The following is a 25,505-nucleotide window of genomic DNA, read 5'->3' on the forward strand; positions in this document are numbered from 1 at the left end:
CCCAAATCAGTGGGCTCCCACAAGCTGAGTGGTTCCATGTACCTTCTTCACTTGATGTCCAAACCCCACTCCTTAACAACTTTGTGGTATAGGAATACTCTGTTCTCTCTACCTACTACTTTCGTAACTCAACACAGAAATATTAGCTTACCTGAATACTTTACTGCCTAGTGAGACTATCTGTTCAGGTCTCAATGTTTTCTGCTAACACTCTGCAAAGAGATGGAACCATTAGAGTGGCTTATTTACTCACATAAATGTTGCCATTTCACCTTCCTTTATCCTATGAAGCAATTGAGCTTACAATAAGATGCAGTCTTAAATAAGATTTGTTAAAAGGCCATTAATAAGCCTAATAGCAATCTCACCTCCATCATTCTAAGGTAGTGAGAACTCTGTTAGAAATAACTGCAGAAGGCTGCACGTGGTGGCTCACACCTGTAAAACCAGCATTTTGGGAGGCCAAGGCAGGTGAATGGCCTGACATCAGGACTTTGAGACCAGCCCAGCCTGGTCAACATGGTGAAATCCTGTCTCTACTAAAAATACAAAAATTAGGCAGGCGTAGTGATGGGCGCCTGTAATCCCAGCTACTTGGGAGGCTGAGGCAGGAGAATTGCTTGAACCTGAGAGGTGGAGGATGCAGTGAGCCAGGACCGTGCCACTGCACTGCAGTCTGGTGACAGAGCGAGATTCCATCAAAAAAGAAAGAGAGAGAGAGAGAGAGAGAAAGAAAGAAAGAAAGAAAGAAAGAAAGAAAGAAAGAAAGAAAGAAAGAAAGAAAGAAAAGAAAAGAAAAGAAAAGAAAAGAAAAGAAAAGAAAAGAAAAGAAAAGAAAAGAAAAAAGAAAAGAAAAGAAAAGAAAGAAAGAAAAAGAAAGAGAGAGAGAAAGTAAAGGAAGGAAGGAAGGAAGGAAGGAAAATAAATGCAGAAAATTGATCAAGGGTATGCATGACATTTGCCAATTTTGTTCCAAACCTTTGGTTTCTAGAAACATGCCCAGTATGGAACTCTGCATCCATGTGGAGAAAAAAGTATAATAATTAAACAAGCTCAAGTTATGCAGTAGGTGGAATGTGCAAATATCGTTCACCAGAAGAAGTACAGCCTTTTTACAGTCATTTTTCTTAACTTTGGTTCATCCAATATATTGGGCATTTAGGAAGCAGGTGGTAGATAAAAGAATGTTATGTTCTGCAAAATGTAGCACAATATGGTTTTTGAACACAAACACATAAAAAAGCTGTTAAGCCTCAAAAAGCTAGTGTGTAAATAGTGACACTTTAGAGAACTTTAGAATGGATAGTGCCTGTACACAGGCCAGTCACTGAATTATCCAAATAAGGCAGATTTGTGCTCCAGTGGTTAAATGTCTTCCTCCAGTTACATATATATTTGAGGGTAAGACATAAACATTAGGAACTAAGAGTTTCTGTTACCTATCACAGACTTTGTCATATTTTCCTTACTTCCTGCTATGGATTGTCACTTACCATATAACTCTATTCATCTGGGAAATCTCTCACCCTAGACACATATGAAAAGTTCAACAAGTTAGGACAGGTGGTCATTTGAAGTAGCACTACTGGGAGTTCTGACCTTGACTTCATACCTGATGCAAATGCTCAGTCCCTTGGTACCTCTTTCCATGTCTATCAGTTTGAGTGACATTTTCTCTCCACATAGAGAAAGAGGAATTTTACACTCTATAGAAATGGTAAAACAAGTCCCAGTGTTCTTGAACAGGTACAAAACTTTATAACACTGTTGCTGATAGAATGTTTACATGTGCACTTTACTTCCAACCAAAGAAAGAAGAGTTAGCTAAGAATCATTTTTGAAAGTAAGGTTTTTCTTTGTTTGTTAATTATTATTTAAATCTTTGGATACAGAATTACATTTAATTTGCTGCCACTATCATTTTTATTGATTTCTTTACGGGTGCACTTTATATTAACTGAATTTATATTGTATGTCAAAATTTGTATGAAAAGCTGTTTTTAAAATGTCTTTTCTACCTATTGAACCTCAGTATTTGCAGGTTTCCTCTTTAATTAATACTTTCATCTATGTTTTCCAGGTGATTATTAGGCATTTCATTTCAAAAGCATTTAAAAATTAGTGACAATTGCATCATTTTAATGAGATTTTTAAAATCTGCTTTATTATGTGTAATGTAATAGTAGCTTATATAGTAAGTTACTACGCATTTGTTGAGGCTTATAAGTGACTGATGTGGTGTTTAGAAACCAATACAGGAAAAACCATTCCAAGTCAGTTCACTTACATAATTATAATTTAAATCTAATTTACTTATTATTCCTTAGTCTATAATAAAATTTTAAGCAAATTTTGTATATATACCATTATTCATATTTTAATTTGAAATAGACTAGGTAACTTACTACTAACATTCAATTTTAGACAGAAATATTAATGCATGCAGAAATGCCACTAATGACCCTGGATTCTAAAATATCAGTAGATATCCAGCCACAATTTCAAGAAATCATGTTAAAGAAAAAAAGGTCAGAGGGAAAGTATGTACTTAGCATCAAAACTAAGGTGCCTTTACAAATCCTGTCACATTTCTCTCATCAGACTGGTATGTGACTGATTAGACTAGAAATTGTCCCCATAAACTCAGGAATCTTTTGGTTATTGTTCACTTCTGCCTCACCAGAAATTCCTAGAATTTATAGCACTTAATTAGCCTCAATTAATATTTTCTGAATAAGTGAATACAAGTTAATTATAAATAATTTCAATGCATAAAAATAAGCTACTTCTTGGGATATCTCTATCTTTATATCAGTATACCTATATCAACATCTAATCTATCTCTATCCAAACACCACACCCTCTCCAAATGTGTAATTCAAGTCCTGGCAGATTATTTTCCGAGTTTCTCATCTAACACCCTCCCAACTGTACTCCACCCCCATCCCTAGTCTTTTTCTTTTTGTCAGGGGGCGGGGCATACATACATACAAGACATAACAGTAGGCTTTGCTAATTCCAAACTTCTTCCTATAGTTTTATGCTAAAAAAAATGATGGTTATGGGTTTTCCATCTCGTTTTCTTCTATGGAAAGGTCAGTAACAGACACTGTGGGTGGAGGAAAAGGATATAGGACAGGCACTCTCAGGGAGCCAGGCTGTGTTGGGCCTGGACCATCCCAGTCACCAGAGGGGCACACACACAGACAAATGCTCCAACTGCACATGCTCTAAATGGTCTGAGCCACTAATATATGAGCAGTGTAGAATGTTGACAGTAATCAGTTCGTTGTAAACTTGTGAAGACTTCTACTACATAAAGAATGTATCTAAATTAAAGTTTTGTAAAAAGAAACCTTTAATTTTTGCAATTAAAAGTGTGTATATTATTTGATTTTTAAAAAGACGAGAGTACCGAAAGGACACTTTAGAAAATATGTCTTTGAGGTTTCCCAACAAATACGTGGATGAGATTTAATATAAAGATTTGGCAATAATTGGTAACAAGCTAAAGAAAATATGGGAGAATAATTAAAAAAGAAACTCAATGCTGACTATAACTCAATCTAGCATGCTTCTAGAGCCTATAATTATAAGTTTATTGTACAGAGAATTCCATATTGGTGTAAAATGCTAAAGACCGCTATTAAAAAATGTTAAGACTACATTTTTGAAAATAATCTAGTACTATGGTAACTTAAACTTCAGTTAGACTTTGAACTAGAAAAGGTAGCCTAATGTGGGAAAGAATGGTATTTTTTAGTGTTTCAAAATGTTAATCTAAAATAAAAATAGCTATATGAAGATTACTTTTATAGCCAGCAGGAAGGGTACTTTCTTTATATTTTGTAAAAATGTTTAAATATTATTCAAAAAGGCTTATGGAAATTATATTTTCTTCAACTACAAAATAACTAAATAAGCAATTTGCCATGAGAATATAAAATTTCTACTGTCCCATCATATTAGTTATGTTATCAGTGTTGTTCTGCCTAAGTAAGAATGACTGAATAACTCGAAGACAGAAAAGAGATGTAATTGAGAGGGGAATAACCTGCATGTGTAAATATATATATGTATGTGTGTATATATATATATATATAAATATATATATATAAAATATTTATTCTAAACTGCCATTTGTCATCTCAGGATTGTGGCAGTATAGATTAAATAAAATTTTAATGTGAGATGCCTGAATATGGCAAAATGTGAGCCTAATTGCATTTGGAACGTTTTGCTATATGTAATGAATGCTGCATAACATTTTCAAAATATTTCCTAATTATAAAATTATGAGAATAATTACTAGTTATTTCTCATTGTATTTGTTATCTTCATGTTTTATTAAAATAATCTTCAGATTTGTTGAATAAAATACACCATTGACTAATTGCTTGAGTCTGTGATTTAAAGATGAATATTCTCGTGTTTTAGAAAGCGGATCTCCAACCAATCACATGGCAATCAAGACAGCTGAAATGATAAATTCTGTTTTTTTCTGAGCATAGTAATTTCAAACCAGCAATAATAGAACCTCCTGAGTTAGCCGATCAATGTAAACATACACATCTATAAGTGCTAAAAATAATTTTCCAATGACTCACATTTAAAAAGCAAGTACCTTAAGTTAATGAAAATACTGATTATACAACAAAGATTAAGATTGCTTCTATCATGCGAAATTTAATAGTCTTTATTAATATTTGAGAAAATGTCCTAAAGAATGTAAAGCTGATGGTAAATATGCATACAACAGAGTGCTGAGCCTGCTAATAATCCAATGACTTAATTTTCAAGAACGAGACTTAGAGATCATTTTAGAACAAAGTTCTAAAGGTTAAATAATGTTTAGTCACTTTTTGAAAGAAAAAAAATTTGCTTTCAGTATTTACTTAAAACTTTAAAAATGTTTAAGGACTCATTAAAATAGGCATATATAAACTTAAAAATAAAATTATTAGGTTATAGCTGCTGTAACTACAGAACCAAACAATTTTACAGAATTAATACAAACAAACCTACAGAGCCAATAAAATTCTAATTAACAGTACTAATTAATGTGACAATTCATGTTATTTTGCTGAAACTAAATGCTACTTTAAATTGTACCGTCTGACATTACATGGGAAATTTTCAAGTTTAACATAAAATTAAAATATAAAATGCAGTCCTTCCAATGATGATCTTCAGTGACTGAAGACTATGTCCAGAAAACCCATTTTGAAAAACATGATACTAAATTCAAGGGTGGTAGAATATTTCACCAAAAACTATGCCACTTTGGCATAAGGATTATTTTGTGCTGAAGGTAAATAATGTGAAACACATATCAAATAAAATAAAATAAAATAAAAGCCCTCTGCTCTTTCCCTATTTGACTAAAATTAGGACTTAAATTTACAAAGATCTCCCTCCTCCCCTGTCCCTCAAAGAGGACAAAAGTTGAGCATAAAAGACTTCAGACCCTTATCAGCCTGGAGATGGCACCAAAGGAATCTAAATAACACAGTTTACTTTTTTTTTTTTTACTTTGAAACATCTACTTATTTCCATTTCCAATGAAGAATTAAAAGATACAATGTGTTAAAGACATATTTAAAAGACTAGCAATGGGATTAGACAGATGAATCAAATTTTGTTGATATCCCAAGTAATTACAAGAGATTTCGAAAATGTAGTGTAATTCAGGTTTTCTTTCCAGTTTAAAAATTTCTATCCATTGCCTCTATCTTTGGTGTCACTGCCAGCAATAAACACAGTATAGAGCTTAGAAACCTAATTACTATCTTCAACTAGGAAAAGGTAAACCAACCAATTAGCCTTTATCTATCGTTTGTTCTCCCATTTATTTAGCCCACAACAATTTGCTCCTTTGGTGACTCGGGTCCTTTTCCTTTGTCTTGTCACTTCTCTAAAAGTATATTGTTCTTTGTTGAAGATGCTCTATATGCCAGAGTTTTAAGCATCTCTTTCAGATTTACTCAGTTTTTCTCTTGGGTCTTTTTCACGTATACATGAAGTATGTATACATGTTAATAAACTTCCGTTTGTTTTTTTGTTCTTGTTAATCTGTCTTTTGTTACAAGGGTCTCAGCTAAGAAGTCAAAAGATTAGAGGGTAAATTATTTTTACATATCCTACAAAGTCAATCTCTTATTTTAAAGACTAACCTCCTGAAGTCCTAGCAAGCAAAGCGATTTACCCAAATTGGTCTATTTCTGGCAGAGGTGGTATTTGAAACATGGGTCCTTATTTATCAGTCTGGGTTCTTTGAAACTTAACCTAATGTTTTTTCACTTGACAATTTTATATAGATTATGTTGACTAAAGGTAATGAATCTTAAAATATACCAGCCATAGGGACATTTTAAATTCTTGTTTTATCTTAACAGTTACCAGGTTTTGAGTTAGAAATGTCTTCAGCGCACTTTACTTCCTTAAATAAAATATAGGCTTGAACTAGTTAACTTATTGGCATGAAAACTCTTTAGTACCAATTTAATGGAAGGTTTCTAAATGGGCAATAACTTGGTTTATATGCTAAAGTCATGAAGTAACTGTCCAAGAGTTTTAACCATGTTTTATTTGTAATTCTTTACACATAGACAATTGAAATTCTGGTAAAGTAATTTACTTTAACAAAGTTTAACTGAAAAGGCAGGAAGTATTCATGTTTTAATAATGTGAACATTTTTATGTGTGTGAGCACCTTTCAACATCTTTTGTCTTTGTTGGTTTGCTTGTTTTGCTGTAGACACTATGAAGCATATAGAAATGGTCCTCCTCCTCAATCCCTCAGGAGCTGGGTTGCATTAAACATGTCTGGATATTTTAGGAAAAAATAAATAAAAGGAACTCCTCAGTGTGTTCTGAAGGAAAAAATAATTTAATAACTTGAAACCAGGACTGTTACTGTGATAAGATAGATATGTATAAAAATTTCCATATGACAAACAATTTATGACTAATTTTCAAGACGCCACAATTCTATTCTTAGACTGAGACAAGGGAGTAGGTATTTTTAACTATACCTTGTATAACTTTCCATTTTAAATTTTAGATCTGAACTATGACGAGGGAAACTGTGCATCAGATAAGCAAAGTCAGGTATTCTTTGCTCATAAAATATCTTGTTTTCCTCTGGATGGCAAAGACTCAATCATTTTTGCCTGGACACCAAAAGGGACTAGCAATTGGGAAAAAAAAAAAAAAGAAAATCCAGAAGTATTCCTTTTCTTACTCTATGAAAAAATTATGGGCAAATTATCAAAAAAAAATAAACTGAAGTGCTTTCTTGAAGTTGAAATTTTCTGATAACTCTTCTCCAGATGAGTGAAGGTTACAGATGTCTATGAAAATAACTTGGGTATTATCTGAGGAAAGAGGAAAAAAATGAATTCCAACATTTCTTGCAACTTACTTGCAGCTGTGTTGTGTGTGTGCAATTTTAATTATGTGATTTCTGAAAAAAGAGGTAAAGGAGAAAATTGCCAATTTACATATATTTACTCAAAAGTCTGCAAAGGTATAAAATAAAGTAAAATGACCATTGGAATTCTTGCTGGTTGGCTATCATTTGATTCTATAACTTAGAATTACATAATAGATGATAATTTCTGTATTGCCTTTGACATTACCTCCACATTTGCTTTCTTATTATATCTTTGTCTCTTTTAAATAAGAGGAGGAGAAATATAAAAACTAGAATTGAGACAAGATTTTTTTGTTTTTAATCTACAATTGAATTCTTATTAAATTTTAGGCAATAGGTATGTATTCTTACTTGCAAGTGTACACAGTTGTTCATTAAATTCATTTAATAATATGTTTAAGGTATAAGCCAGGTCTATCTGCTGTGATAAATCATGGACAAAATATATAAAATTCCTGCTCTCGGAGAGTTTATATTCTAAGGAGAGAGGAAATTAATAATATAGAAAGAAAATTATAAAATCAACATTTAATGAGAAACTCTTGCCACTAAACACAAATATTATTAAAGCTTTCTCTGTAACATAAAGAGAAAATTAATTTAAAAGTAAAAAAAGAAAACTAAAATAAGCAATAACAATCTATGTTCATTGCCTTGAAAATTCATGTTCTCCTACCGAAGAGGAGGACATTCGTCTTTAATCTTACTGTGTAGTTTTCTAGATTGGAATGGCATTTTCTGAATATTTAAAGTACACGAATCAATTTATATATCACCAATAAAATTCAGTAAAATTAAACATGACAATAGTTTATCAAGGTTTTGTTACAAGAAAAACAACAATTTGTAGTTGATAAAGACCCCACAGAATAAAAGACTGATTGCAATGATGAATAATGCATATCGCCTATGGTACTAATTAACCTTGTACTCCAGGAAGATATTACAGAACAATAAGGCTAATTTGAATGTGGTCCGGCACTTTTCCCTATGGCTTGTGGTTATCACCCTTCAGAATACGTAAAATTTGATTTTGTTAAAAAAGAAACATATCTTTGTTATTGTTTTTCACATAAAATCATGAAAAAGAAATTCTATTATTTGACATTATGCATTTCCCAAAAGGTAGACTAAATGTATACATAAAATAGGTATATATATTCTTATTTGCGAATGTATATACTGGTTCATTAAATTCATTAAACATTAAATTAAATTTATTTAAAATATGTTTACACACTATATATGTAATATATATGTAATACGGTATATATGTAATATGCTAAGTATAAATTGTAAAATAATGTATTTTAATAACCAATTTGAAAAAAGTCAGCTAAAACTTTAACACATGATCAATTCTACTAGACTTTTAAATCTCTTCAATTTATATCCAGTTTTTCCATTCATATACCTGAGTTATTTTTTATCTTAAAATAATAAAATCAATCAAATGGATAAGGTATAAACAAAACCTGTAATGAAAATATTTCCTTCAAACAGAAACTCATCAATTTCTTCAAAATATAATGTGTTTCTCTTCTGTGACTAAATCTCTGTTGGATGTACAGTAATATTGATGTCTGAGAAATATATCTTAATTGAAAATGCCAATCTTTAATGTCTTAACTATGGAATTCAAATAGTAATTTAAATATATTTTTAAAATACAAAATAATATTTCAAATTTCTTTTCCAAAATTCTCTTGCACGAACTTGACGATAAAGCCCTTTTCGGATTTTTTGAGTGGCATGACACAGCCCCCTCAACCCCCAAAAATACTCAAATGTGACAAAGCATAACCTAAACATATCAACTTTTCCTTTATGACATATTTAAAAATAGTACAGCAAACAAGAGGAACCAGTATGAACAAAAATGGAATACCTATTAGAAAAGTGTCTCTAATACCTTTAATATTAACACATTTTAAATGACAATGTTACTATTTTAGTACATAACAATTTTTGTTAATTTTTAGAGTTTGTGGACATGTACATTTTTAATGGAAATATTTAGTATTTGAATCAGTCTCTTTTTACAAGATAAAAAGGATCAAGTGCCTAAGTGTTCTTGAGATTTTTAATCAAAATAACTTATGAAAGTATTGTTAAAAAATCTTCCTATTTAATTATTTATTTGTCACTCATATAATTATTACATATACAGCCTTCTTTTTTCTTTTTAACTGTTTTTTAAATGCCTTGGTGAGAAAATTGAGAAAAAATTAGGAGAGAGGAAATGCTGTTCTCTCCATGACCAGAATGACATAGTAGTTAAGAGCAGAGAGACCCTGGAAGATATGACCTAAGTTTCCCTCCAGCTCCAGTACTTACCAACGTGTTATCTTCATTACATCTCTGTTTTTCACTACCTGCATGCATGCATGTATATGTGTGTGCATGTGTGTTTGTGTGTGTGTGTGTGTGTGTGTGTCTGTGTCCAGATCCAATTACATAATAAATATGATGTGCTTAGAATAGTGTGTGATATATAGAATTTGCTATAAATGAATTGAATGAATTTATATTACAGAAAATTTATAAGGGAGGAGAAAAAAAGCAGGAGATTGAAATGGGGTGTAAGTAGAAGAAATCAAAACAACACAAAGTAAAGTAACTTTAGAAAAAAGTAGTAAGAATTGGAGAAAACAAAAAAAATCAGAAAACAACCAGGTTTTAAATCTTACCTAGGAGTTGAAACTGAGAGGTTTTCAGGATTCAATACTACTTTGGTGAGAAAAAAAAAAATATTTACCAAGAGTGTTTTAATTGACCTTAAGAGCTAAAGTAGTTAGTGCTTTTGTGAGTTGAAACAGGATCTGTTAACTTTATTAGTAGAAAAGCTGAAATGGCAGGATACAAATAAAACAACATCTTTTTGTTTCCAAGAACAAAGCAAGAACACTTATTTGGGAAAAACAAAACAAAATAAAAGAAAACAAGAAAATCTGAAGATTATTGGAGATTACAGTTACATTTAGCTGTGTATCTCTCCTTTATATAGAGAAAACATGAAACAGCTGTTGTAATTAGTGCTTATAAGTCTATGAGCTCTAAGAAGCATTTAAAATTATGAATTAGGAACAATTTACACAAAATAAAGGAGCATATGTTTTTCTACAGCAGTATGGACATATACTCCTTTTCAAGTTTTATTGTAAAATTAGTAATATTTATAATATAAAACTGGAAAAAAATGCCTGCAGCCTTACTTTTTTTTCTACGTCAAATACACTGAGAAATACAAAAGTTATCATTTCTGGAATGTCTCCTAAAAATAAAGAGAAAAAACAAAAATAGGAGAAAAGGAAAATGAGGGAAAGAAATAAGGAAGAGGAAGAGAGAGAGTACACTTAGGGAAATTGGATTTGCAGTCAAATTTTCCTTAATTATTGAACTATTTTAATATATAAGTAATGAGAAAGTATCAATAAGTATTAACTTGATATCAAATGCTTATATCAAATATAAGCATTTGATTGCATATATGTTATTTTGAATAACATGAAACCATCTTTTCTACTTCAAAATCGTCATATATTAGCAATTTCTTCATTGTACCCAATTTAATATAACTTTTCCCACTAAAAGTAACTCCCATATTCAAGTTATATAATAATTAGACAATCTTAAGTTCATTGTGATTTTTTTCATATTACTGATGCCATGTATAAACATATATAGTCATATGAATATAATTAGTTCTTTTTATATCTTCTTTTCATATAATTACTAGCAAATAGTTGTCTTTGATTTTGATTTTTCAAAACAGGTAGCAGTTACTATTTTTCTTCATATCAGTGCTACAATATTCTCTATCCTTGTCTTTTTACTATACATCTCTTCCCCTGTCATTCCAGTAATTAAGCTTTATCTACTTTTTCAATTAAAAACTAAAATGTGGTATATTCTAAAATGTTAGAAATCCCAATGTGTTTTTTTTTCTCTCAAAGCTAATATATATTTAAGCATAACAAAGCTGTATTTGAAGCTAACTACTAACTCAGGGTTCTTGGAAATCATATTTAATCTACATTAATCTCATTTATTTCCAATTATAAAATAAAAACAACAGTATATATCTGGTAAAGTTATTGTAAGGATTAAATTCTTTTCTACAGACCTGGCATGCAGCTGGGTGAGATAATGCATGGATATGAATTTTATTTTTTCTAAAACAGTTCTGTTCTACCCATTAGAACATAAGGACATTTGTCTTCATTATCAGCATGATGAATTCATTTAGATCAATCATCAGAGAAGTAGCAATTATTTTAATTGTACTATTTTGCTTATAAAGATATTTTTATTTTTGCTTTTGCTTTTAATTGTCTTTGTTTTGTTTTGTGTTCTGCTTCTTTTCAACTTCCCACCATCAAGAATGACATGAAAACACTTCAAACTGAAAGTCTCCTCCAGTCAGAAACCTTGTACCTGCTAAATGTGTAATTTCGGAATTGGTGGGGAGATGAAGAATCCTTTAACTTCTTTACTGTGGAAATGAAAAATCTAAAGATCCCACCAGGTCCATGAGGTACAGAGGATGCTCCCACATCAGAATCCTGACAATGTCTCCTCCCTTATTTTGTACAGTCCAGTTTTGTTTTATTACTTCCATACCACACCTCCAAACAAAACAAAAACAACAAACAAAACAAAACTTGAATACAAATGACACTTTAATACTCCAAAGGCCAAAACATGTTTTAAAAAAATCCTGTACTATTTACAGGAGCAGACAAGTAAGGCAAAGCAGCTTATGTGTCCAAGAATGTACAGACCAAAAGTTCAGAAATGGATTGAGAACTTTAAACCCATGTACACAATCTCTCCCTCAACTACATGTATGTTGAGCTTATGCCAAAAGGTGCCCCGACCCCCATCTGGATATTCCCATAGGAAATATGTTAAAAAGTCTAGTTCGGTTCCTGACTATTCATAGAGCCTAATTATAGGGCCTCTACTGTCTAGGGTAAGAGCTTCAGAATCCCAGACATTCTTACGCATTCTTTGCTTTGCTCACTCAGTCTTGCTTTGCTTATTTGTTCCATCTTCCCGCTACTACATTTTCTCCCTTTCTAGCCACTTTTCCTTTTCCTCAGTCTGAGGTCTGAAAATAGGGTCCGAATCTCTCTTCTGTAAAGACAACTCTGGTGGCTCCTGTGTCTTTCTGGGGTGCCTCCCTCTCATGTGCACTTTAGTGCAGCTCCTACAACAACAGATTAAGCTCACAGGTGATCTAAGTCAAGGTGACAAAATTAAATGAATTTCAAATACATTTTATTGCAGAACATATAGTAAAAAGGTACAGACTTTGAAACAAACACACTGGGTTCAAATGTCAATTTACCACTTTCTAGTTTTAGTTTGTGTGATCTTAGTAAAATTAACCTTCTGAGCTTTCAGTTGCCCCTGAAACAGTGGCTTGCAGGATGTTGTCAAGCTTAAAAGAGTGAATATGAATAAAACATTTAACAGTACAGACACATAGCAGCTTTTTGCAAATGTGTCAACCCTTCTTCTTGCCTTACCATTCCGGTTAAAATATCCTGACAATTCTGATATTCAGAATCTTAGATCTTATTTCTTGGGATCTCTATTATTTCTAGTATATTATTGCTTTTTACACTGCACTTGAAAGTCAAACTATTCCCTTTGGCCTACTTTTGTATTTTCTAGGAACAAGCTCCTTTTCTCCTCAGCTTTCGTTCCATTCCCTGTAAGTGCAGATGAAAATAACTATGATCTCCTGAGATCTGCTCAGGGGAACAGTCTGGCTGGTCTTTCCCTTGATGATGACAGGTTGCCCTTGGCTAAGACTTTCCCCTTCATCAGATTTTTACCAGAAGTCGGATTTTTCACCCAATTCTATGCTTCCTGAATGCTTAATTTCTTATACCCTCAGTTTCTGATCAAGGTGTTTTATTTATGGTCTCTCTATTCCTATAACATATATTTAATCATTAACAACATGCCTGGTTGGTCTGGTTTATTTCTCCTTTAAATTGAAATGAAAATGTGCACACTTGCACTCATACCAACAACTCTTAGAAAGCTTCTGAGTCCTTAAAGGGCTTGCCATGAGTAGCTGGCCTGGTCGGACGGTACCAGGTTGAGTGTGCTCCTATGTTCCAGTGCTCCAATGGCCAGGGTGGTGGCAACAATACCAACAAATGGTAGCACACAAACAAAAACAGAAGGAAACAAAAGACCCCAGCACTTTATCTAGGATTATCTCTCATTGAAATTAGAAATTGCTTTAAACTTTTAAATCTAACTAGCATGTATTGAGGATTTTCTTTGTGCCAAGTGCTAAGCTTTATGAGCCTCCAATATTTAAAATCTAATCCAAGTTTTGAAATCATAATCAATATGTTTATTGTGGGAGACAGTGGAAACATTTTTTAGTATGAACTGGTTTCTAACATTATGTACTGAGAGCAATAACCACTCAGGGCCTGGTAATAAAGTATGAAGGAAATCCAACTAAAACTCGATTTCTTTGAGTGTTATTTGGTTAAACTGCTAACAGACGTTTTTTTTTAACTTGTCCATAATGGGAAAACAAATTCTTATTCTGAATTTAAATTTTTTTTCACCTGAATAAAGACTGAAGCCCTCCTCAAATGTAAGTACATTATTCTATTGCTGTTAGTCTGTGTGGGCCTTGAGGAGCACAACCTGACTTAAATGGGCTCTATTATTACTGTTAAAGTTCCCTCCCCACCTCCCTCTGTAACCACTGGCTGTGCCAAAGAAAGCCACTGCTGTCAGAAAACAAGGAGTCTTCACTGTTGTGACATTTCATTTATCTGGGCAGCAACATTCTTGAAAGGCAACTTGCCTAGCTCTAAGTGAAGTATGGAAGACAATCAAATGCAGTTAAGCAAACCGGTGTTGACATATTAAATCATGCTTGAACCAAGAGAGCAAACACAGATGACACACAGAACCTTCTAAAGAGAATTTAAAATAAATAAATAATACAGGTCAGTCTGGTTCTAAAAAAAGAAGCTTTTAGCATTGGAAAATATTGGGAACAGGTGAATATTAAAAAATCATCCACAGGACCAAGTAATTATGTTGCTTTCAGATTGTGAGGCATAAAAGTAGTGTGGGAAAATGAAGGCTAAGGGAAACATGGAAAACGCTGGTGAAATCACATCACATGACTTTTCCACCCACAAAATGGAAAATAAAACTTTGATAGTCTCATTTTTTATTTTATTTTAGATATGTCCTAATGGAATCCTTTCAAAATACTTTGAATTCATCAGAGGAAAAGCTCTTATGCATATGGAGTAGTGTATTGTGATTCTCCTTTACAATCACACAGCAGGAACTTTCCAGCATTCATTCTCCATGTCTGATTCCTGCTAACAATTCCATCAAATAAATGGAGTTATCCGTCAGTCAAATTATCATTTGCTCTAATTGTTACTTCCTCCAAACTGTGGTTCTTCTTTCTTTCCTTACCTTTTCTTTTATAAACTACACCTTTACAGTGCTCAAATGAGCAGGATATCTTCAAGCTCAGAAAAGATGAAAGCATATCAACAAATCACTTTGGTTCTTACAGATGAAACACTGCTGGTCAGCCGTAAATGCAGACAAAGCATTTAAGCACCAAAGAGAATCAAATACTTAAAGATAAGATGTGATCCACACGCATGACAAGAAATAATAAAGGATATAAAAGCATTTTCATGTAATGAAAACCAGTTATGAGATCATGTATAGCTTAGAATTCACTTTTTTATTGTTATTGCGAATTATACACTTCCTAGAAAGAACTATGCCAGGGTTAGTAATTCCATGCCTTCCTGCTTTATAATAATTGGCATGTCTTTCTAGACTAAAGTATGAGTTAAATTTAAAGGCAATAATTGTACAATTTCCGTAAAAGGCATACTTTTCTATGAGTAGCATAAATTGGAGAGAAAGAGAGAGAGACAAATTAAGCTACACTTGCTATTAGTCAGATAGTTTTCTATGCAACCCTTGAAAGTGGGTAAGTAGATTCCTCAAGGTTAACCCATCCATGGGGTACACTAAATAAGTCTATACAGATGAAGCACAAAACATTTAGCATATTATTCCTAATAAGGACCTAGGATGTAACAGTACTTTTTATTCAGGTTTATCATTAATGCAGTATACAATTAAAAGTACAGATAGATCATAGTAATTAAGTGTGTTTTTACACTGTACAAGGTCAAAAAGTAAAACAAAGAGTCTGAAGTAAAATACGATTCTAAGGCTAAAATTAAAATATGGTGGTTGTGTGATATCAGGCAGGTTAATCCCTTCCCCAACCCCCTACTCCAGATCTCATTTTCCTTATTAGCTTACTGACCTTCATGAAATTTTCAACTCATGTTAAATTTTTATTAAGGTGATGAAACAAGATGTGCTAAAAAAGTAAATATATTATTATCCTGTCTAAAATAAAAGTTTTCCGTTTTCCACATGGAAGGATCATTGCATTTCACTTATGTTTTGCAATGAAGAGATTATGAAATAGACCAATATTTACATCTGTATTATATCTTCATTTTTAGTACTATGAAGAAATATGATTAATCTTATTGTAATAACTAGTATTAACATAACACCTCTAAATTCATGCCTTTTTTTCTTTATACAGATGACATGATTTAATTATAATTACTGAGTTGACTGATGAAATAAAATTTAACTTTATCATATCATTTAGGAGTATTTATGCTAAAACTATTTAAAAAATAGTTTTCTGTTCCCAAGTTTCCCTCATATCTTTATTTCATACTCATTTCTCAGAATTAGTTTTGTGTTCCCAAGTTTCACTCATATATTTATTTCATACTCCTTTCTCAAAGCCGAGATGACTTTGCCTACATTAATTTTAATTTTATTTTTTTTAAAAAAAAAGCTTCAGAGATTGTGATCAGAAAAGATGAAAAACTGTAAGGAAGTACAGGGACTTTTTTTCCCTAAGTCATGTAAATTATTTTAATTCTAACGTTACTTACAGAAGATGGAAAAGAAAAATCACAGCTTTTCTTCTGTTCATTACAATGTTAAAATGACAATGCTTATTAATAGATGAAAGTTACTTTACTTGCCAAATTTTTCAGACAGCTTAACTAATACTTTTTTAGATACTAACTATTTAGTAAAATAACATGAGTTTTGAGTAAAACTTAAATGAAACGTATCTTTTAAAAACATAAAAATTCTTCATTTCTTACCTAATAAAAAACTGAATTTAGTATTGGGAAGGTTCAAGTAATTTCACAAATTTTATCTTCCTATCAGTCCACAGTAATTTTTTTTAAAATTAAACATTTTGTATTTGGCATGGTATACCTGGGGAGCTATAAAATTTAGAATTCGTGAGTTTTCAGAAGGCTTTCAGTACCAACCATGTGAAGGTCTAAGAAAACCTGAAAATGCTTCAGGTATAAGCACGTAAAAAAAATCCTGAACTAAGTATAACAGCTTGACGTTCCTGTTATGTTTTGTTTTAACACAAATTCCATTAAAACTAATAAATTAAAAATGTCTGGCAATGTCAATCCACACAGGGCAGAAACAAAGGGAAAGCCAAAGCCTGGAGTGGTGAGTGCCAGAGCATATCCTTGGCGGCCCTGCAAGCTCAGTGGGATGAGGCAGGCTCTGGGAAACAAGGCAACTTGAATTTTAATGCCCCAGAATCCAAGAGAAAAGGCCATAGCCTGGTACCAAGTGGGGAGACCTTCAGAGAACCTGAAACTTTAAAAAGCTGGCTACATCCTCAAGAGGACTCCGAGTTAAAAAAAAACAAAAAGAAAAAAGAAAAAGAAAAGAAAAGAAAAAAATTTACACAAGGAAAGCACAAAGTGGCTGTTACCTGATAACCTCCTAATGGGAAGAAGAAAGCACAACCTTCAAGAATCAAAATCAGTGGCCTTCTCTGGGTGAGGTTTCGGGATGCAAATTCATATTAGCCACCAAAAGCAAAACACACATGAATTTCAAATGTTACAACACGTCTCAATCCTGGTTGCATATAACAATCAACTAAGAAACATTTTAAAAAATACTGAACCTCTGACTAGCACCATACCATGATGTCAGAATTTCTCCTTGGTTATGGCCGACAACAACGCTGCTTAAAATGATTGTGTTGCACCGTAAATGTTGAGCACAGAAGAATTAGACAAAATTTGGTCCCAATAATACACATCAGTAAGAGGAAATGCTAAATCATGTGAGAAACTCCTCTAGGTCAATAAGAAAAAGACAAGCATCCCAAAAGGGGGCAAAATAAACAAACAGCTAATTTATACATTGAACTCATTAGAACATGGATGCACCTCTACTTTTTTCTCTACTTGTCTGTTGTTTGACTTTTCCTCTAATTTGCTAAATATTGTCTATTTATGATAATGGGATAGAGAAATGATAGTAAATATGTAACTCTTAAGTCATAATGCAATTATCAGAAAGAAGTATTATTAGTTCTAATACTGTCAAAAATTAAATAATTACCATATGTATGATAAAAGTATATTAAGGAACATTTTGAGGGGGAGAAATATTTAACTAATGCACAATGGCTCTAAAAACATTGATACTGTACTATTTTTACATACATACAAGGGATTAAGATAAATAAATTACTGTTCTTGACCTTATATACTAACACGGTCCTAATTTATCTGTACCTAAGTATCCCAATCTGTGAAATAAAAAAGAAAAACACACTCACTGCAAGAGTGCTTTCTTTCAGTGCTTCTTAAACTTGATGTACATAAAAATCACCAAGGAATGTGCTAAAATGTAGATCCAGATTTAACATTCTGGGGTAAGGCTGAGATTCTTCCTTTCTAAAAAATTCCCAGGTGATGCCAATGCTGCCGGTCCATGTATCATTTCTAAGTAGGCAAACATTACTTGCAGCTACATGAACACTTTACAGGTGAAGATTATAACATTTAATATTTCACAGAGGAAGAAAGCAGGGCTCAATCTGGTTTTGTAACTTGACCACAGTTACGTATTTACCAAATGATAGAGTGAGATTTGAGCTGAGGCCGGCATCACTTTTAAGCCCAATGCCGTTAATCTGCTACGCACACAAATACCTCCTGATGCTTTCAGAGATCAATTTTAATGTTTGAAGTCTATTGAATGATTTTATGCAAGTGTTGGTTACTTTGTTTCTTATAATTCGCATTCATATTTTGAACTATTATTTCTGAAGAATCTGAAAACTGATACTGAAATATTTGCTAAATCGCACTCTGAGTTTTCACGATCGAATTTCTCTGTACACACTTTTCCCATGAGAGCTGTTCTGTTTTATGTTATCAGACTTTATGTAAGTTCTTTTGCTGGTATCTGAATAACAAGAAAATAAGCAAACAATAAAACAAAAGGACTATTTTTTGGTTTCCTGGAACATTTAAATGTTGTGAATTTTAAATATATAAAGCTTTTTGTGAGGTCTTTATAATTAAAATCTTCTCCTGATAATTATCATGTTATAAAAATGTATTATAATAAAAGGAGCTTATCCAGTGCATCTTATTTTAATAAATGTTTATTATTAAGAGGTGTTTACACAAATATGAGACATTTCAACATAAAATATAATCATTAATTCTCCATCCATATAACCATGATGAAACTCAAGTCCATTAATGTTAAGATTCATTTTCACGGTAACAATATGGAACATGTCATCATCATATAAAACATCCTAGAGACCTGCCCAAAGTGAAATTTACAAAGTAGTTATTACTGTTACTGTAAAGATGAGGTATAGCATTTGCCTGTTACATTTATTCTAAACTAAAAATATATACAACCTCAAGACTTTCACTAGCATAATTTCTTTTATGAGTGAGAAAGTAGGAGTGCAGACCAGATTTAAAAGTTTGACCAGAAAGAAATCACGAGGTTTTTGGTTCTTCTGTCTTTTCTTTCATTGCCAAGTCCCCGTATTTGTCCATCAACATATAGCAGAAGAGTCACTAGTTATTAACCATTGTCAAACCAATGAAACAAGTTCTTTAAGAAAAAAATGGGTTTTATACTTTCAACGGGTGTAATAATTTACAAATAATCATCCACCAACACCACTTATAAATAAACTGAATTGTTTCATGTTTGATATGCATGCATTTGACCCTAGATATTTATTAGGAGTTTTCTGTCTTTAAGATAATAATAAATGTATAAGAAGAGCATATTTTAGCTGGTAAGTTCAGGAATCATCAGGTCTTTTATTTCTCAGATTTTTATAAGCAAATACATTTTTAAAGTGTAATTTTAGAAAGAAATGAGACATACATAAAATTAATGTATTAAAATAGATTTCTGCACTGGAAGCTCCCTCTGTTTGCTGTACTGTTTCCCATACTTTTCACAGTTTTTTTTCCCCTAACTTCTATGTTAAATGCCACCATTTCAGAAAAAAAAAAAAAAAAATCTTATTTCCCTATCTAAAATACCACACTTCACCCACACTGCCATTAGAAAATTTCATAACTTTTAACTGTAGATGTGAGTCTATATGCATGTTTGTATGTATATATGTCCACATTCCTAGGATACAGGAATTCTATAGGCTGGATAGAGTGCCTACTACAATAACAACTTATAGAATAAGTGATAATGTCTAACGAGATAGCAAATTTTTCAGTTTTGTACTTCTAACAAAATTTTTATAAAGGAAGTTCTATAAAACGTACATAGTTTTATTTACCCATTGGAAAAAATGTAGTATTATTCTTTGATAAATTAAATTGCTCAGGAATATACTACCTACTTAGAGAAAACTAGATAATTTTATAACCTGTAGCTACCCTTTATTTTATAATTTTTATATAATATCTCACAAGATTTTTTTTTTTTTTTTTGAGACGGAGCCTAACTCTGTCACCCAGGCTGGAGTGCAGTGGCGCGATCTCCACTCACTGCAAGCTCCACCTCCCGGGTTCACGCCATTCTCCTGCCTCAACCTCCCGAGTAGCTGGGATTACAGGCTCCCGCCACCACGCCGGGCTAATTTTTTGTATATTTACTAGAGACGAGGTTTCACCATGTTAGCCAGGATGGTCTCGATCTCCTGACCTCGTGATCCACCTGCCTTGGCCTCCCAAAGTGCTGGGATTACAGGCATGAGCCACTGCCAATATCTCACAAGATTTTTATGAGCTAGTTAGAGATGAGAACAGCAAAGAACAGAGAGATTCAGCAACTTGCATGGGGATACAGCCTTGGTAAATGGCAGAGGTAGAATAAGACTATATTAATTTTTACTCAGAATTCATGTGGTTAAACTACTAGGGCATGCTGCCTCTTACAAGCAGCGTATTTCCCACCATATTCAAATTCAATTGGTCACATTTAAACATGTACATCTCCTTCATTCTTCCAAATTTAAAGAAAAATGTTCACTTTTGCAAAGGTATCCAGTCCATAAACATATCTATAAACATATTTTGTGTTAGCGGCATGTGTGTTCATTTGGGGAGGGGACAAGTATTTGGATTAGTGGTTCTCAACTGGGAGTGATTTTCCCCCAGTGAATATTAGGCAATATCTAGACACATTTTTGACTGTGAAAATGGGGAGTGGGGTGTCCTACTGCGTCTAGAGGGTAGAACCCAAGAAAGCTGCTAAACAGTCTACAGTGAACAAGACAACATCCCCCTTCCCACCAACAATAATTATCTGGCCCAAAATATCAAAACTCCAGTGCTGAAAAACCTTGATTTAGAAAAAACAAACAAACAAACCAAAAAAACAAACAAACAAAAAACAAAAAAACAAACGCAGAGTACTCTCAAAAATTTTATTAGAACTAATCTAAAAGTAGGCCAGGGAGCAGTTAAAATGGGGGGAAAAAGACTATTTGAATTATTCTCTTGTGTAATGTTTGTAAATGGATGAAATGATTTGACTACTTAATTGCCTTGGTTGTGCCTCACAAAAGCAGAACACACACACACACACACACACACACCAACACAACACACACAGGCACCATTGATATTCTGTACTTCCATAATTGCCATCATTTGTTCAAATTTTGAAATTAAAATAGGTTCCTTTTGTTACATATAATAACATACTAAATAGAACGATAAGTTCAACCCCTTTGATGTTTTTTGGTAATGTCCCTAATTAAAAATAACTAGGCTCTCTAATCCATAATTGCATGGACACCTAATATACCTAATATATTTCCAGCCAATTTTGCTTCAATCATAAATATGCACCAGAAGTACGAATGATCGACATTCTACTCCCTGCTGTAACTGTACTGTTTCTGAATCAAGGCTCTTTCTTGAATTGGGTATTTTCACTACATTTTCCTCGCTGTGCAATCATCTCCCAGTTGGACAATTAATAAGTACTTTTTCTCCACAGCCCTTGACGTGTAACCCTCCTTATCCCGTATTTTAGCATGTACTATATACCTTCTTCACTCTGACTGGTTTTGGCAGTGACCCACAATCTAAATCTCTTTCCTCCATTTGATATAAGTGAAACTATAATTATCTAGGGCTAATTTCAAATTACTACTTCATTCCACTAGCAACTGATGAAGATTAGTGGTCTTGCCTTGCATCTAAGTAAGTCAGCAACATAATCACAAGAGAACTCAGCAGGCAACATTTGATTCATGTGAACTCAATTACTTCTGTCAAAAACATTCACTTCAATAAAAGACAGAAACTTCTAAAATGTGTTTTTGCTAACCATTTTTTACTAAAAAAAAAAAGTCTCACATGAGTCTTAAGGGGAAAAAAATAGCATGAATTTCATCAGAAATAATAATAAATAACAAGTGGGGAAACATACTTGGATAAATGGATTTGAGACATTATTTATTTCTGAAAATAAAAAGACTTCCAAGAAAGAAATCTGTAGACTTAAATCAGTTTATTATAGAAAATTTAGGCATATAAGTAAGACTTACAAAAATAAATGTACACTATATTTTAAGTTCATACAATAGAAATGAGTATTTTGTTACCTCGTCAAAACCAGATTACTATGGGTGAGGTAGTCTATTTCTCTTAAAGAAAGTTAAATGAGAGGAAGTTATATTAAGATGACAGATCACAAATTGCTAAATTGACCAGGACTCCAGACTCACTGCTTGGTCACCTGGATTGAGGCCATATGTTAATGAGCTGCCTAGCATTCTGAATCTTGAAGGTTTAGTTTGTAAAAGGCCATGTGTCAACTCCATCATGCAAAGCACATATAACAAGTCACATAAGCATGATATGACAGCAAGTACTCAGTCACCTGCCAGCACAGACTAAGAAATATTAACATATGAAAATCATTGCCACAGATATATTCAAACTTTAGCTTCTCAATAATATATTTTAATTAAATTCTAATATAGTTTGGTTATCAAGAAACTGAATAATTAAATGTCATCATGTAATATGGCCATATTATATTTAAGTATGTGATGTTCTGTGCTCTGTAAAATTCACTAAATTGGCTTCTCTAATAGTATGTGAAGTACCAATCACATATGACTTAATACCTTGAATATGAAATTTGGGCTGAGAGTCTTAGAACTAAGAAATGATTAAGTTAAAAGACATATCCATCAATTTTCAGACCAAGGAGATATTTTAGAGATAATACAAAGGTAAAATAAATCAACACAATGTGATATTTAACATAGAATAACATAGTATTCTTTTACACCTTTGCAGATTTTCTTTCCTCTCTTTTGAATTCATTGTCCTTCTCTTGTGCTTTTTGACTTCTTTCTCATCCCTTAAGTTAAGGAGTACATGGTCTCCCGCTACTCCTGCCATCAAGGTGTATGTGGACTAACAGGAGTAGAAAAAATAATTAAACAGATAACAAGTATGCAAATATAGGTAAAATAATAGTTCTAAATTGTTTTGTGACAAAAGATATATGAGTAAACAGTGACGCTTGATTTAGCCTTGATTGATTGGGGCATCTTCTCTGTAGAAGGGATATTGGAGCACAGATCTGAAGGATTAGTGTATGTTAGATACAAGAATAATCCATGCAAGAGAACATATTCTTAAAACAACAAGTAGTGAAAAAGAGCAAATTGAGAAACTGAAAAAAGTTAGCTTGGCTAGTGCATAGGGAAGGGGAGAAAGCAAAATTTAAGATGAGACATGAAAGATAACTGGAGCAAAACCATGCAGCCTCTTAATGATAAAACTTTGTCTTAAAGGAAACCACTGAAGTGTATAAAGTGTGTGTGTGAAGGGGGGAGGTTTCAGGGGTAGGATGGATGTGTGAAACAAATATTTGCATTTGTTATAGGTGATATATTCATATAGTTAAAAAACCAAAACTATATATAAAGTCATTCATTAAATTTGAAAACAAAGTTTCAACAAGGTTTACCTCTATATTGAAGGAAGAAGGAAATAGAAGTAGATGATTTAAAGAGAAAGTTGACTGGTAATTTCTATAAACACTGTGATGGATTGGAACTGGATAGTGAGTAGGAAAGAGATGAGAGAAATGATTCCTAAATTTCTGGCTTATTTAGAAGGATGATTCCAAATCATCAAGATCTCCACTTAGAGGTTTGAGGCTAGCAGGTTAAGATGTAAAATGAGCTAGAGTCATGGTGGCATTTTATAACACACACACACACACACACACACACACTCATTTACATGTACTTATTGTGTACAGATAGAAATCTCTCAACAATATCTATGATGCTTTAGTTCTCCAAAGCAAGCCCTCAAGATGTATTTATTCATTCAATGAGTCATTCTATTACATAAGTTGTGTGTAGAATAAATACTTGAAACTCTTCCTAGAGTGCCATCACATACCATTTGTACATAGTAAAATACCAGCAAGCGTTAATCATACCGACTACATGTGTGAAACATTCTCTGGGCTGTAGTAAACTTTTTGCATTACCTCTGCAAACCACTGCTCCTACTACCAAGGGAGGAAGATAAATGCATGAATTAAGACAGAGTCCAGTTAAGTAAAGTTTTCTACAATGAAATGTCTCCAGTTAATCCAATGTCCATCAATTAAGGTTCTACTTTTCAATTATTAAGAGAATAACATGAGAAGAGAAAGAAAAGATGTATGCTAACACTTGCACTAAGACTGCATTGCATTCTGTCAGAACGCTGCCTCCCAGGATTTTTGTGACTATCACCAGCAGAATGTTTTAATCTCATCGACAATCAAAATGCATCCTCGAAACATGGAGAGAGGCCTCTTATACTATCTGTCAATCAAAATAATGACAAAGGTCATGGTGGTCTGAATTAAGTGCTCACATATTCTCTAAAATGATAGAAACAAACAACCAAATAGAGTACGTTGTTTTATAATACTAATAAACAAATTTTTAGAAATAATTAATAAGATTTATATTTACAATATTTTAGACAGAAATATATTCAATGGATTGCTTATAACTCCTGCTTTTGATCCTTTAATTACATAAAACCTCACCTTAAACCAATAAGATTGCTCAAAAGTAAAAGATAATATTAGAACATTTCTTTAATTCCAGTCCTGAAGAAATTATGATTCTTTTCCCCAATAAGCTTTTAAGCATTTTATAAACGTAATTTTGATGGAACAAAACTTTCAGATGTACTTGTGTAGATATAAAATCAGATGTAGAAAGTTGTAGCTTGCATGGAAAAACAACAGAATTAATAGTAGATGGTATTTCAAAGATACAAAATAGAAACTGGTGCTGAAAAAGGAATTTCAAGTAAAGTGCAATGTGTTTCTGGAGAGAATTAATTAACCAAGTTATTATAATTTACAGGTAATTTCCCTAGTTTTGTTTCCCTGGATCGATAATCAATCTACAGTCAAGCAAGAACAAATGAGGAAGTCTGATTCATGTAACAGAGTGGACTTAGGAAAAATAAATGCACCTGAAGCTACCAGGTGGGACTAAGGGGCTGCTCAGCATTCAAAGTTCCCTAAGTTAATATTCATTAACTTTCATTACCTAGTTAGTACACTCACATCATGATGAAAACAAGTTCAGGATCATGAGGGTGAATAATTTAAATAAAAACAT

The 25,505-nt window shown here is 32.6% G+C and overlaps 1 protein-coding gene across 13 annotated transcripts in view; it reads right to left on the bottom strand.

Annotated features, from left to right (window-relative positions):
- Nucleotides 1–25,505, bottom strand: part of EPHA5 (EPH receptor A5) — a 350,923-nt gene that overhangs the window by 255,707 nt on the left and 69,711 nt on the right. The gene's annotated exons all lie outside the window — the stretch shown is intronic.

This window comes from Homo sapiens, chromosome 4 (genome assembly GCF_000001405.40).
Source record: "Homo sapiens chromosome 4, GRCh38.p14 Primary Assembly".
NCBI lineage: Eukaryota > Metazoa > Chordata > Mammalia > Primates > Hominidae > Homo > Homo sapiens.